The sequence below is a fragment of the Homo sapiens genome, chromosome 10 (genome assembly GCF_000001405.40).
Source record: "Homo sapiens chromosome 10, GRCh38.p14 Primary Assembly".
Lineage (NCBI taxonomy): Eukaryota > Metazoa > Chordata > Mammalia > Primates > Hominidae > Homo > Homo sapiens.
In genome coordinates this window covers 72,688,319-72,703,376 of record NC_000010.11, presented here as the reverse complement: position 1 = coordinate 72,703,376, position 15,058 = coordinate 72,688,319, and the positions used below count along the sequence as shown (strand labels likewise).

The 15,058-nt window shown below is 43.0% G+C and overlaps 1 protein-coding gene across 4 annotated transcripts in view, besides 5 other annotated features; it reads right to left on the bottom strand.

Moving 5' to 3' along the window:
• MCU (mitochondrial calcium uniporter) overlaps positions 1–11,234 on the bottom strand; it is a 195,552-nt gene extending 184,318 nt beyond the window's left edge. For 3 of the 4 annotated variants that reach the window (NR_073062.2, NM_001270679.2, NM_138357.3), the window contains exon 1: positions 11,076–11,234. Coding sequence is in view for 3 of the 4 variants with exons in the window: in NM_001270679.2 (NP_001257608.1) it covers positions 11,076–11,225 (150 nt within the window). In the remaining variant the exon portion in view is untranslated. Of the gene's footprint in view, positions 1–10,310; positions 10,515–11,075 lie in introns of those variants that run through there. The other variant, NM_001270680.3, reaches the window with a different exon arrangement.
• Positions 9,797–9,886: an enhancer, noted in NCBI's record as "active region_3552". NCBI's record gives its function as "activates an Ori minimal core promoter by ATAC-STARR-seq in GM12878 lymphoblastoid cells {active_cell/tissue: GM12878}" and the evidence as "EXISTENCE:reporter gene assay evidence [ECO:0000049][PMID:35858748]".
• Positions 10,647–10,736: a silencer, noted in NCBI's record as "silent region_2478". NCBI's record gives its function as "represses an Ori minimal core promoter by ATAC-STARR-seq in GM12878 lymphoblastoid cells {active_cell/tissue: GM12878}" and the evidence as "EXISTENCE:reporter gene assay evidence [ECO:0000049][PMID:35858748]".
• Positions 10,757–10,806: a silencer, noted in NCBI's record as "silent region_2477". NCBI's record gives its function as "represses an Ori minimal core promoter by ATAC-STARR-seq in GM12878 lymphoblastoid cells {active_cell/tissue: GM12878}" and the evidence as "EXISTENCE:reporter gene assay evidence [ECO:0000049][PMID:35858748]".
• Positions 10,897–11,356: a silencer, noted in NCBI's record as "silent region_2476". NCBI's record gives its function as "represses an Ori minimal core promoter by ATAC-STARR-seq in GM12878 lymphoblastoid cells {active_cell/tissue: GM12878}" and the evidence as "EXISTENCE:reporter gene assay evidence [ECO:0000049][PMID:35858748]".
• Positions 11,557–11,616: an enhancer, noted in NCBI's record as "active region_3551". NCBI's record gives its function as "activates an Ori minimal core promoter by ATAC-STARR-seq in GM12878 lymphoblastoid cells {active_cell/tissue: GM12878}" and the evidence as "EXISTENCE:reporter gene assay evidence [ECO:0000049][PMID:35858748]".

Sequence of the window (15,058 nt, the reverse complement as noted above, 5' to 3'; positions counted from 1 at the left end):
ATCATGGTTAAGTCATTTACTGTGTGTCACTTAACAGCTGTGACTCTGGGCAAATCATTTAACTCAGTGGGTAACTTAGTTTCACTATCTATAAAATGAGGATAAAAACAGTACCTGGGTCATAGTGTATCACAAGAATTAAATGAGATAATCTATGTAAAATTCTTGGCACATGATATACTTGAAAAATATTATCATTGGTATAACTACTATTGTCCAGCCTAATCTCCAGCTATTCTTGCGCATACTCCAGTTGTAACAAACCAGTGGCTGCTTCTCAAATACATCTTACTCCCTCATGAGGTCATGTCAGATTGGTGCTGCCCAGAATGCTGACCACACTTTTCCAGTCACATTATATTTCCAAATGTTTGCTTTTTTTTTTTTTTTCTTTTTTTGAGACACAGTTTCGTTCTTGTTGTCCAGGCTGGGGTGCAATGGCACCATGTCAGCTCACTGCAACCTCTGCCTCCCGGTTCAAGTGATTCTCCTGCCTCAGCCTCCTGAGTAGCTGGGATTACAGGCGCACACCACCACACCCAGCTAATTTTTGTATTTTTTTAGTAGGGATGGGGTTTCACCATGTTGGCCAGGCTGGTCTTGAGCTCCTGACCTCAGGTGATCCACTCGCCTCAGCCTCCCAAAGCGTTGGGATTACAGGCGTAGCCACTGCACCTGGCCCCAAATGTTTCCTCTTAAGCAAGACCTCTTCTGTGAAGCCTTCCTCAGCTCTCACAGGTAGGTCCCAAGTGCTCCCGCTGAACATTCTTTAGAAAAAAAAGAAGCACAGCCATTTATAGTCTGTTTGTACAATGTCTCCTGGCCAGACTGTGAACTCTTTTAGGACCACCACAAAGGCATCTCTCTCTCCAATGCCCTGGGCAGTGCCTCACAAAATGCAGGAGTTCCACAGATATTTTCTGAATGTCTCCAGGTTACCAAACCCTTCTAAGTCTTCATTTTCCATCTGTACAATGGGAATAGTATTTTGCCAGAAGGACTGTTGTAGAGTACACTAGAGAATGTTATAAAAGTATCTGGTATAGAAGCAACTCAGTAATTACCAGGTTTACTGGATGGGACTTATTTTTTTCTTTTTCTTCTTCTTTTTTTTTTCTTTTTTTTTGAGACAGAGTTTTGCTCTGTCGCCCAGGCTGGAGTGCAGTGGTGCGATCTCGGGTCACTGCAACCTCTGCCTCCTGGGTTCCAGCAATTCTCCTGCCTCGGCCTCCCAAGTGGCTGGAATTATGGCGCCCCCCTCCCCCCCAACCATGACTGGCTAATTTTTTTTGTATTTTTAATAGAGATGGGGTTTCACTATGTTGGTCAGGCTGGTCCTGAACTCCTGACCTCAGGTGATTCCCCCATCTCAGTATCCCAAAAGGCTGGGATTACAGGCATGAGCCACAGCGCCCGGCTGGGTGGGACATTTTAGAAATCCAAACTAAATTAGGAATATCTCCAAGAAGCACATATCTTAGACCTCTAACAGCTAACACCGGGAGGGGAGGGTGAGGAAAGAAATTTAAGAAATGTAGTCAGTGGGGGCCGGGCACGGTGGATCACGCCTGTAATCCCAGCATTTTGGGAGGCCGAGGCAGGAAGATCATGAGGTCAGGAGATCGAGACCATCCTGGCTAACATGGTGAAACCCCATCTCTACTAAGAAGAAAATACAAAAAATTAGCCGGGCGTGGTGGTGTGTACCTGTAGTCCCAGCTACTCGGGAGGATGAGGCAGGAGAATGACTTGAACCTGGGAGGCGGAGCTTGCAGTGAGCCGAGATCGCACCACTGCACTCCAGCCTGGGCGACAGAGTAAGACTCCGTCTCAAAACAACAAGAAATGTAGTCAGTAGGAAGGATGTCGAGATCTCTTGAAGGAAAACAGCAGCAGATACTTGAGGAAGAACATGCTAAAGGAGCAGAAAGGAAAAGGAAGGATGACCCACACTGACACCCAGAACAGTACAGTTCTCACTCTAGCCAGACTCAGGCTTAAATCCAAAACATGCGTCCTGCCTTTCAGTGCATCCCTAGCACTAAACCAGTTTATGACACTTAAATCTATAAAACTGGGTTAATACCTCTCATAGGGTTATAGTAAAAATTAAATGAAGTAACAATGTCCTCAGGTCTTAGATGGTTTCTTCTATATCTATTCCTCTATCTATAGAAACCAAGTGGTTCAAGCTAACCTATATGCTCTCTTATTATCTGACAATTTATCAGTCATACTAACTTTCTCTGAACTAAAGTTTAAAGCAGATATTAATACAGTGCTCTTAAACATCCTCTTACATTACTTATCATAGAAAAGAGGTACAAAGTAGGCGTGTCTCAGCAGACAAAAAAGAAGTTTAAATGATATTGATACCTACAAGGCAGTACACTTCAGGACTGTACATTTCTAACTGTCGTCTACACAGTCTCAAACACCTAATGGACTCCTCAGTAGTTTTCTGATGATTATTACAAACACTCCCTAAACAATAAAGTGGAAAATAAATAGCAAGAAAAAATACATAAAAACTGAAAACTTCAGGAACAAAGCATAAAAATTAATACCCACTCTTCTGGATTAATAAATAGTATTAACATCATTAAAGAACCTTTGGAAAAGGCTCATATCTTTGAGATGTCAAAATGCGATGTCATATCATCAAATTATTCCAGAACTGCATTAGAAAAAGTTCCACCTTTAGCATGCTTTAGACCCAATTGGTGAAAAAATTTATGAAGTTATATTTTTATCAATATAAAAGATTCAAGTGTGTACACAGTTTTTGGACCAATAATTCACTAAACTTATTAAAATTAATTTGCTTGAAGCCAACTTTCATTTTTACACAAGCTAACTGCAAGCATTTAACAAAGTGCAGTGAAATAAATGCATTGTTTTCCTTTTGTGTTCAACCTACAGAGGAAAGGTTTTTTAACAGTTATTATCAAGCTTAATCTAAATTAGAGAGTAATTATTCAAGACTGACTTTGACGTTAGGTACTTTAAGAATTTGGCCGGGCACAGTGGCTCACGCCTTGTAATCCCAACACTTTCCAAGGCTGAAGTGGGGGGATCACCTGAGGCCAGGAGTTCAAGACCAGCCTGGCCAACATGGCGAAATCCTGTCTCCAATAAAAATACAAAAAATTAGCCCAGCATGGTGGCAGGTGCCTGTAATCCCCGCTACTCAGGAGGCTGAGACAGGAGAATCGCTTGAACTCTGGGGGCAGAGGCTGTAGTGAGCCGAGATCACACCATTGCACTCCAGCCTGGGCAACAACAGCGAAACTCCATCTCAAAAAAAAAAAAAAAAAATTTGACCCCAATCCACTTTTTAGAACCACTCTCAGCTTAAGTGTTTTAAATGAAACAAAGAATTGTGTAATTTAGTAGGAAAAGAATTGAATAGGAAAATGAGAAGATGCGTGACCCATTTCCAGTTCTGTATTAAGATGCTGAGCTACTAAGAAAAAAACCATTTCGGCCGGGCGCAGTGGCTCACACCTGTAACCCCAGTACTTTGGGAGGCCAAGACACGCAGATCATCTGAGGTCAGTAGTTCGAGACCAGCCTAACCAACATGGCAAAACCCCATCTCTACTAAAAATACAAAAATCGGCAGGGGGCGGTGGCGCACACCTGTAGTCCCAGCCACTCAGGAGGCTGGGGCAGCAGAATCACTTGAACCCAGGAGACAGAGACTGCAGAGAGCAGAGATAGCGCCACTGCACTCCAGCATGGACGACAGCGTGACTCCATCTCAATAAAAAAAAAAAAAAAAGCCATTTCACCACTCATACTCTTGTTTCCTCAATATAAGGTCTTACTGAACTCTAATCACTAAGGTTCTTTTTTTTCCCTTTTTCCGGGACGGAGTGTTGCTCTGTCACCCAGGCTGGAGTGCAGTGGCATGATCTCGGCTCACTGCAACCTCCGTCTCCCGGATTCAAGCAATTCTCCTGCCTCAGCCTCCCGAGTAGTTGGGATTACAGGCGCGCACCACCACACCCAGCTAATTTTTTTGTATTTTTAGTAGAGACGGGGTTTCACCATATTAGTCAGGCTGGTCTCGAACTCCTGACCTCATGATCCGCCCGCCTCGGCCTCCCAAAGTGCTGGGATTACAGGCATGAGCCACTACGGCTGGCAAACGTTTAAGATTCTTTAAAGTGCACAACTTCCACAGTAACATCTTAGTTTTCCTAACATGTTATCCTAGTAATTCTAATATATCCATGAGCCATGGTATGGCATTAATCAAAGAATAAAGAGTCCGGGCACGGTGGCTCACCCTATAATCCCAGTACTTTGGGAGGCCAAGGCAGGAGGACTGCTTGAGCCGAGGAGTTCAAGACCAACATGGGCAACATAGTGAGACTTCATCTCTACAAAAAATTTAAAAATTAGCCCAGTGTGGTGGATTGTGCCTGTAGTCCTAGCTATTCAAAAGGCTGAGGTCGGAGGATCACTTAAGCCCAGGAGTTCAAGGCTGCGGTGAGCCATGATCAGACTACTATACTTCAGCCTGGGCAACAGAGTAAGACCTCGTCTCAAAAAAAAAGAATAAAGGGCTGAGCATGGTGGCTCACGCCTGTAATACCAGCACTTTGGGAGGCTGAGGCAGGCCGATCACCTGAGGTCAGGAGCTCAAGACCAGCCTGGCCAACATGGTGAGACACCATCACTACTAACAATACAAAAATTGGCTGGGCGTGGTGGCGCGTGCCTTTAGCCCCATCTACTCGGGAGGCTAAGGCAGAAGAATTGCTTGAACCCGAGAGGCGGAGGTTGCAGTGAGCCAAGATTGCGCCACTGCACTCCAGCCTGGGCGACAGAGTAAGACTCTGTGAGGCTATCAGCCTTTGAATCCTCTATTCTAACAGCTATCCTGAGATATTAAAAGGTAATCTTGACCTTAATCACAGGAAAACAAACAGTAATTTTTAAGAAAATCTATAGGGATGCAAAGCTAAAACATAAGAAGAAATAAAAACATCCTAGCAGTTGATAGCAAATCATTTTTTGTTTTAGGGCTACCTCATGTTTGAAGTTGAAATAAAAGAGCATTTCATTGATAACATCATCTGAATGATTTCCTACCAATGTATTGCCTTTGACTTAAACCACTCTTGATGCTGTATTTTCTATTTAGATTTCATGTTAAAGAAAAGAATTACATGAAGCATAAAGAAAAGCCACTTGGGACTTAGAAAAGTTCAAATAATCAGAATTTTAAGATATCCAAGTTCATTTATTCAGATATTTTATGAGTTTTAAAATAAGCATGATTTTGTGCTGGATGTGGTAGCTCATGCCTGTAATCCCAACACTCTGGGAGGCTAAAGTGAGAGGATCTATTGAAGCCAGGAGTTAAGAAACCAGCTTGGGCAACATAGCAAGACTGTTTCTCCAAAAAAAAAAAAAATTCTTTTTATGAGCTAGGCATGGTGACACATCACATGCCTATATACCCAGCTACTCAAGAGGCTGAAGTGGGAGGACTGCTTAAGCCCAGGAGTTGAGGGTTCCAGCAAGCTATGACCACACCACTGCACTGTAGCCTGGTTAAGAGAACAAGACTGTCTCTCAAAACAATAAAAAATAAAAAGAATGGTTGCTTCCTTAAAAATAAAAGAAGTCAGCCAGGCACAGTGGCTCACACCTGTAATCCCAGCACTTTGGGAGGCCGAGGTGGGTGGATCACGAGGTCAGGAGTTCAAGACTAGCCTGTCCAACATGGTGAAACCCCGTCTCTACTAAAAATACAAAAACATTAGCCGGGCGTGGTGGTGCACACCTGTAATCCCAGCTACTTGGGAGGCTGAGGCAGGAGAATCGCTTGAACCAGGGAGACGGAGGTTGCAGTGAACCGAGATTACACCACTGCACTCCAGCCTGGGCAACAGAGCGAGAATCTGTCTCAAAAAAAAAAAAAAAAAAAAAAAAATAGAAGTCTGGCCTGGGTGCAGTGGCTCATGCCTGTAATCTCAGTATTTTGGGAGGCCGAGGCAGGTGGGTTACCCGAGGCCAGGAGTTCGAGACCAGCTTGGCCAACATGGCGAAACCCAGTCTCTACAAAAAATACAAAAATTAGCCAGGCATGGTGGCACACGCCTATATGCCCAGCTACTTGGGAGGCTGAGACAGGAAAATCACTTGAACCCAGGAGGTGGAAGTTGCAGTGAGCCGAGATCACGCCACTGCACTCCAGCCTGGGCAACAGAGCAACACTCCATCTAAAATAAATACATAAATAAATAGAAGAAGTCTGTTCTTAAACATATTTATCCAGAACTCTCAAAATCTTAATATAGAATAAACCAACAAATGTGGAATCTGATTCAAACATATACTTGTAATAATCTGGGTAATTATTATACTTTTGCTGGCTATTGTCAGAAAGCTAATGACCACTGCTGAGCTAATCCAATGGTACCAACTCTTTCCATCAATCCACCATAAAGAAGTGTAATATACAACCAAAGACAGCACTGGCAATACTAAGCTTAAAGGAATTCTCCAAATGTGGCTACCTAAGGAAGGCTATTAAGCAAGCCAAACTGGGGGTAGGGGGATAGGGAGAGGAGATAAAGGGCATATCTTTTCCCTAGCAAGCAGAAAAAGGGGTGCATAGCTAACTAATGCTTGTCTGAGTGTCACCTATGTACCCAGCATTGTGCTAGAGTCTATGAGCCACAAAGGTAATAAGATACACATCATTGCTTTATCTCCCCAGTTAAGATTAGATGCCCACAAATAAAACATTTAGAAATCATGTCGGTGTCAATTTGTGTCCTAAAGATAATAAATCCCATCAGAATTCAGAGAGGACAGAAGACAACAATAGAAAAGGGTTAAGAGCCAGGAATTACACAAATCAAGATTCAAACTAGGAAATGTTTTTTTCTCTACACATTTAGAGAAACTTTTCTAGTAACGAATTATAGAAATTATCCCTGAAAGTATCATCTTCACGCTAGGAATTATTGAATCTGTCTCCATTTAAAGGAATTTTAGGCCAGATCTTCACACTAGGAATTCTTGAATCCATCTCCATTTAAAGGAATTTTTGGCCAGACGTAGTGGCTTACGTATATAATACTAGCTCTTTGGGAAGATGAGTCCAGGAGTTCAAGACCAGCCTGGTAGAAATACCCTGTCTCTACCAAAAAAAAAAAAAAAAAAAAATTTTTTTTTTTTTTTTTTTTTTTTGAGTCGGAGTTTCGCTCTTTCGCCCAGGCTGGAGTGCAGTGGCATGATCTTGGCTCACTACAACCTCCGCCTTCTAGTTTCAAGTGATTCTCCTGCCTCAGCCTCCCGAGTAGCTGGGACTACAGGCGCCTGCCACCATGCCCAGCTAATTTTTGTCTTTTTAGTAGAGACGAGGTTTCACCATGTTGGCCAGGCTGGTCTCCAACTCCTGACCCCCTGATCTGCCCGCCTCAGCCTCCCTAGTTGCTGGGATTACAGGTGTGAGCCACCGCACCCAGCCAAAAAAATTTTTTTAATTAGCTGGGCATGGTGGTGCACATTACTTGGGGAGGCCGAGGTGGGAGGAGAGCTTGAGCCCAGGAGTTCAAGATTGCAGTGAGCTGTGACAGTGTCAATGAACTCCAGCCTGGGTGACAAAGCAAGACCTTGTATCAAAAAAAAAAAAAAAAGTAAAGGAATTTTAATCCTTGGTCTGTTCATAACCACAAACATAACTTAACAAGTGACTTTCCTCAGTTTATTAGGTTTCCTCATGTGTAAAGTGCGAATGTTAGATTCAAAAGGAATTGTACATCACAGTCTGTAACCTGAAATGAACCTTAAAGGCTAGAGGAGTGATTAGGGGTGATAAAGGCTGAAATTCAGCTACAAAAAATCCATAAAGGTTTAGTATGAATGTATGGGACAGTGCAGAGACTAGCTTAAGTACAACAGAGTATTTGTGCTGGGATGAATCTGGCATAATAAGATTGGGCCAGACTATGAGGAACTCAATTAAAGAGTTAGGACCTGCCTCTGTGTCAGGCAGTGTAACCTGTTAAAACTTTCAGGTTAAGCTGAAACAATGTCATTGCCAAAAGAACTGTGATGTGTAAAGTAGAGCAAGTCAGCCACAAACTGTAACAGGACAATGACAGACTTAAGTAAAAGATGTAGTAATTCAGCATAGCCGTTAACTGCTAGAAAATGCCAACAGTGGGGCTGTCATAATCAGAGACGAAATAGTTTGTTTTAGCAATGGAATTACACAGCTCACAATGAAAGGCAGTTCCTCTTCGAAGAATCATACTTAAAAATAGCAGCCACCTTCACTAACCATACAGAAAAGCAGGCAACAAACATTTTACATCAGTTTTGGTTACAGTCACAAGCCGGAGAGAAGGAAAAAAATTACACTAGATGGTGCTAAAAATATTGAATAAGCCCCTGTACCTTTACTCTTATTTACTCAGTTGAATGACATACTAATGGAGAAGGGGGAAGAGACAAACTAAGTTTATAACTTCATAATTGCACTTACCAACTAGCTGAGCTACTGTATTGCTTTGGACTCATTCTCGAAACTTGGAAAAGATGAATTTCTCACTTAAAAAATTAGGCAGTGCTGTAACTGGTTATGCCCCCCTGGTTGTAATTTACCATACCATACAGCGGAACAAAAGTGGCACAAACTGGACTTGTGATCCATTCCAATGCAGACTGCCATCTGCTGCACATACACAGGATGTCTCCCAAGCAAGATTCAACCTTAGTGTCTCTCAGGGACCTTTACCAGAACATCTATTCTTTCTGGTAAGTTGTTTGCTCCCATATTCACCTAATATATGTACTCAAATCAACACCTACTTACAGGAGAATTCCCATTCATGGGGTTTTGAAATAGCAATACTTTCATAATGGACAATAGTAAATTTTATAAGGGAGGAGAGAGATGTAAAGGAGCATTTGCACTTTACAATGAAAAGAACACAATAAGAGGTGAGAATATCTCAGATGAGTGGGAGTCCTAAAACTTACGTATTAGCTAACGTAACCTTGGCCAAGTCTCTCTCTTTTTAGGGCCTCAATATCTTTTAAATGGAATTTCTTGTAAAGAATCACAGACTATCCTATGGAAACAGCTGTATACATGATGGCTTCAGAAGAATTGTAGAAAAATAAAATGTTTATACACTTTAAATAATCAGGTTCAATTTTTTTCAAAATCTTACAATTCTAAATTCATGTACAAGTCACCATTCCCATAACATTCCTGCCCTTTAGAAATAACACTTCGTTTTAATTGTGCTTTCAGTTACAAATTCAGCACTTCATTTTTACCCACCCTAGAATAGCACAGAGAACACCTTCGTGAAGTATCCCCACAAGGGAGACACTCACAGCCTGACAAATTTGCATAGTGGAAAATATACAAGGCACAAATTTTTTAAAATGCTAAATGAATATCACACCCAAACAGTCTTAAAAACTGTGCAAAGTCAGAAGATGTCTTATCAAAATATGGACTTAAGGACAACTTGGGAAGCCTTTAAGTAGTTCGACGGAAAGGGGAATGCAATCAAAATTTGGGGTGGCCTTATGTTTTTAAGAGAACAAAACACATAACTAGAGGCTATGAAACATGCAAATTAAATTGAACTGTGGAAAAGCTCTTGGCTGTCACCCAAAAGCTTCAGCAAAGCAATATGCCAGTATGCCAAATAAAAAGAGGTACAATCTTCTCACAAGAATGAGGATAGGGTCCATACCTATGACTAATAATAACAATACAACCTTGCTTTTGCAGAGCATTAGGTCTTTTCATAGATCTTTCAGGCACTCGATTTTGATGCTGTCATTGGCCTTAGGAGTATCCTCTCCGAAGAGCTCCAGTTCAGTTTCCTCTTAAGAGTTATGATCAGAACAAGGCAGGCGATGTGTTTATTGAGGGTTGAAGGTACTATTGTAGTTTCTCCTATCAAGCTGTTTGCAGTGATCCTCCAATAATCACACTATACAACTCAGCCCCAGCAAATAAAACCTACATTCTTTCCCTCAGAGCTGGCCAGAGACCAACACATATAGGTCTAGAAAGTCCAAGGGAAGGAAACCTCCTGACTTGTTAGGTTAAGAACTCCATGCCAAATTCATCTCTTGCAATTGAAAAAAGAAATCTCTCTCACACTCTGTCTCTCTCTCTCTCACACACACACACACACACACACACACTCACCCAAGAGTGTTCAAACAGAAATCCTCTTTTTCTGCCAGCCAATGAAACCCAGCAACAACTGGTTAATACAACCACCAAATCTCTGCCTCTGTCAACAACTTACCATATTCGCTTCTCCTGTGCCTGCTGACCACCCTTCCCGCTTCAGGCACGCGTGAACACGCTTATACAGTAGCCCTCGAAAGGACCCCCAAAAGCACCTTTAAGGACCCAAGAGGATGAAGCTTGCCTCCTGAAGCAATGCAGCATCCATCTCGAGGGAGCCGGTTCCCCATGCACACACACAGAGGAAGTCACAGAGGGGAATAAAGTTTGATTTTCCTTCCTGCCCGACCCCTCGGGGACGAGAGAGGACGAGGGGCGGCCCCGCCGGGGTCCTGGGCTGCTCTCCGGGGCAGCTCCCAGCAGCATGGCACTGCCACTCTCCTGGCACACACAAGGCGGCCGCGGCAACTCAGAACTCCCCAACCCGCCCGGAGGAGGAGGGAAAGGGGACAACTTCCATCTGGCTCCGTTCAGGGAGCCTTGGGGCAGGGCTGTTAAGAACGAAGAAGGGAGGGAACGCGATTGGGGGCGAGTCGGGGAGAGGTTCAAGTCCCGTGCCTTCCCCGCCCTGGTGTCCCCAGTCCTGCGGGAACATCCCCGCCGTCGCCCCTCCTCCTCCTCTCGGCTTCCTCCCGCCCGCCCTCCCTTCCTGGTCGCCGCCGCAGGCGCCTGAAGGGCACGGCGGCTCCTCGGTGCCCGGCAACCTCCGGAGCGGCCGGGAGTTGAGGTAACTCGCCTGCTGCCCCGGCGGCCTGCCCGCCGGCGGCTCCCACACGCCAGCGCCGCCCCGCCCTCCCCGGAGCCTCCGGGCGCGCTCGCTCACCGTCCGGTGGTGCTGCTGCTGCCGGTGGCGGCTGACGCCCAGCCCAGGGAAGCAGCCGGCAGTCAGCGCCCCGCAGCCGCCGGCGCCCCCGCCGCCGCCGCCCCGAGAGGAGAGGAGCAGCAGGAGCGATCTACCTGCGGCGGCCGCCATCTCTCAACTGGAAACGGCGCCGACCCAGGCAGCGCAGCGGACGGCCAGGGCGGAGCTAAGACCCGCCACTCACCGACGCCGGGCCAACTAAAGCCCTTGACTGAGTTGATGAGGCGGGGCTTCCTGCAAGGTCCAATCGACAGGCGGGAGAACCACACTGGAAGCTGCCAGTCCCTTCCAGAGTTACCTATAGTGGGACATAGTCAATTACGGGCAAATTCTAGGGAACCCATAATTGACACCCAAACCCGTGAAAATAACAGCAATAGAGATGGCATGTTCAGTTCGGCTAATCTTCACCAACAATAGAGCTATGATAAGAGTAACGGGGGATATAGATATTTGTGAAAAGCTTTGTTCGAAGTTGAGTTCTAAGTGAGTGTTCTAAGTTGGCAAAATAGGCACCAAATTAATAACCATTAACGGTGTATGCTGTAACTCTCAACTACACGCCTAGAATTATCATTCATAACTGATAATATTTAGATATGCTGAAATTAACTCTACATCACGGAGTGATCTAATGACTGTGATGCGTAGCATAATATAGGAGAGGTAGAACGATTACAATATCAAAGTCCCAGAATGAGTACATGCCTTCAGAGTGAATTAACTGACGTGTATACATCTCAAATACCCAATTCATTTTTACAGCACCTTTATACGGATATTCTCACACTCTCCAGAAACAGCACTATTTTATCATATTTGACTTTGTGTGCATTTACAGAAACAGAACACATTAATAACGTAATAAAAAATCATGTAAGGCCGGGCGCGGTGGCTCACGCCTGTAATCCCAGCACTTTGGGAGGCAGAGGCGGGCGGATCACGAGGTCAGGAGATCGAGACCATCCTGGCTAACACGGTGAAACCCCATCTGTACTAAAAATACAAAAAATTAGCCAGGCGTGGTGGCGGGCGCTTATAGTCCCAGCTATTCCGGAGGCTGAGGCAGGAGAATGGTGTGAACCCGGGAGACGGAGCTTGCAGTGAACCGAGATCGGGCCATTGCACTCCAGCCTGGGCGACACAGCAAGACTCCATCTCAAAAAAAAAAAAAAAAATTCATGTAAAAGGCTATTTTAATGATGCTTCATAATTTTGCCGAAATAGTTATCAGAATACGCTTTGGAATAACAAACACTTTCTCTTGAAAAACACTTCTTTCCACTTAAACTCACAATGAGGGCTCCTTGAATACTGCCTAAGAAAGATTTTGGGTCCTGAATTTCCTTAGAAGAGTATTTCCTTGCTAGCTGTTTATTATTATGAGCTGATTAAATTCTCACACCTCTTTTTAAAATCTGGAGCAGGAAAATAGTTTGGGAAGCAAATACAAGCATTATTTTAAATTTTGGAAAACATCTTTGTAGTGTAGCCTTAGATGATAAATTTAAAACAAAAACAAAACACACACATAAATACGAAGAAAATGTTATCACTTATTCTAAGAATATTCTTTAAAGTTTGACTGAAATGGTACCTTCTTGGCCAAGAATAGCTAAAAAATGACGTGGAAGTTTTTTGTTTGTTTAATCCTTATGCCCCACCTACACCAAAACAGTGAGATGATTGGCTTCTCCGGGGTAGATATCATGTCACTCACTCAAAAGGCTTTATTGCCCAACAGGTGGAACTTGAGACCTCAAGAATGAGCCCCCATTCAACAGCTGCACACAGTAATCCCCCTAGTTGGAAATCCATGACATTCCTGGAACAATTTCCCTTACAATTATTTTCCACCCATCTATATTTATCCCAACTGCATTTGATGTATTTACCCATGCTGTGCCATTTTCTCTCTCACCCCTTCATGCCTTCTTACAGAGATCACCATGGATTTTAGTTTTGTTTTTATTTTCTGTGCTGTCACCAGATCTAGCTATGAATCAGGATTGCTCCATTTCCACTTTCCACTTTAAGAAATTTTACTAGAATTGCCTTTACTCTATTTTTCCAAGCATGAAAATTAGATGTGCATCCTGCAGTGAGATTTACTCATATGCATTAGCAAAAGAACTAAGTAAATAATACTTTTAAGTGCACAAACATGAAATGGGCAGTATTAGCAAAAGTTTTCATCCTACCTATTTACCAAAATGTGTCATCTTTTATCTACTAAGATGAAACCACTGATGCACCAGAGAGAGATAGGCTGTATAAATCTGAGGATTCACTGACTATACTCAGTTCTGGGTGTTGATAATCCAAGGCCGGCAATTAATTTAAACAAATATCAATTATCTCCTCACAGAGAAAAACTTCTTCATAGCTGCAAAGGACATATCTCATATGAGCTGGTTGGCCAAGCCTGATAAGGAGAAAGTGTAGATAGCTCAACAGAAAGTTCTTCTCAAACCTAAAAAAAAGTATGTGTGTGTGTGCCTGTATATACACACACATTATATAGAGAGAGAAGGAAAGGGAATTAACATACCTGCTATGTGCCAGAGATTGTGCTGATCACTCCAGAGATACTACATTTAAAAAGGAGGGCAAGACAACCACAGAAAACTTTTAAAAATTGTAACTTTCATGAGAAAGAAGTTGAAGAAAACCTCAATGTCTTCCAATAGGGAAATGGTTAAATACATTAGACACTAACTTTGTAACAGAAAATTATTCAACCATTAAAAAATTGAGGGCCAAGCACAGTGGCTCATATCTGTAATCCCAGCTCTTTGAGAGACTGAGGCAGGAGGATCATTTGAGACCACATATTTGAGACTTGCCTGGGCAACACAGCGAGACCCTATCTCTAAAAATATATATTTTTTAATTAGTTGGGTGTGGTGGTGCACGCCTGTAGTCCCAGCTACTCAGGAGGCTGAGGCAGGAGGCTTGCTTGGGCCCAGGAAATTTGAGGTTATGGTGAGCTATGATCATGGCACTGCACTCTAGCCTGGGTGAGAGAGCGAGACTCTCTCTCTTAAAAAAAAATTATTCTATCTATACTTTTTTATTATATAATATATATATTTTTATTTATATATGTGTATATATATATTTTTTTGAGACGAAGTCTCACTCTATCGCCCAGGCTGGAGGGCAGTGGCACGATTTTGGCTCACTGCAAGCTTTGTCTCCTGGGTTCAGAGGCGATCCTCTCGCCTCAGCCTCCTGAGTAGCTGGGAATACAGGTGTTGCACCACCACGCCCAGCTAATTTTTGTATTTTTGGTAGAGATGGGGGTTTCACCACGTTGGCCAGGCTGGTCTTGAACTCCTGACCTCAAGTGATTCTCCCACCTCAGCCTCCCAAAATGCTTGGATTACAGGTGCTATCTATACATTTAAATAATATAGATAACACAGTATAGATGACCCTTTTTAAAGTAATTTATATATATGTATAACTTAGATAGATGGTAATTTCCAGAAGAAAACATGTTACCTCTGGGAAGTTTTAAGGGGTAGCTATTCTTCTGAATGGTTTAAAGTATTCTCATCTGCTTGAATTTAAGATGTATATGTATACACATCTTACAATTTATATATATATGAAAAGTAAATTGTTCTCACCTGCATATTACTTTGTAATTTTAAAAACATGGTCACTAAAACCAACATGGCTGCAGAATTGTTTTCTGTGCCAACTCTTAAGCACAGGTTGATCTTTTTTTTTTTTTTTTTTTTTTAAGCTAAAACTAATCAGAACAGGCTTCCTGGAGCAAGAAACCTTAACTAGGTTCTCTACTATCTTTTTTTTTTTTTTAAGCTAAAACTAATCAGAACAGGCTTCCTGGAGCATGAAACCTTAACTGGGTTCTCTACTAAAATGTACACTGACGTCAGCTCTCAAGTATGACTCAACTCAGTGGAGTATTTGCC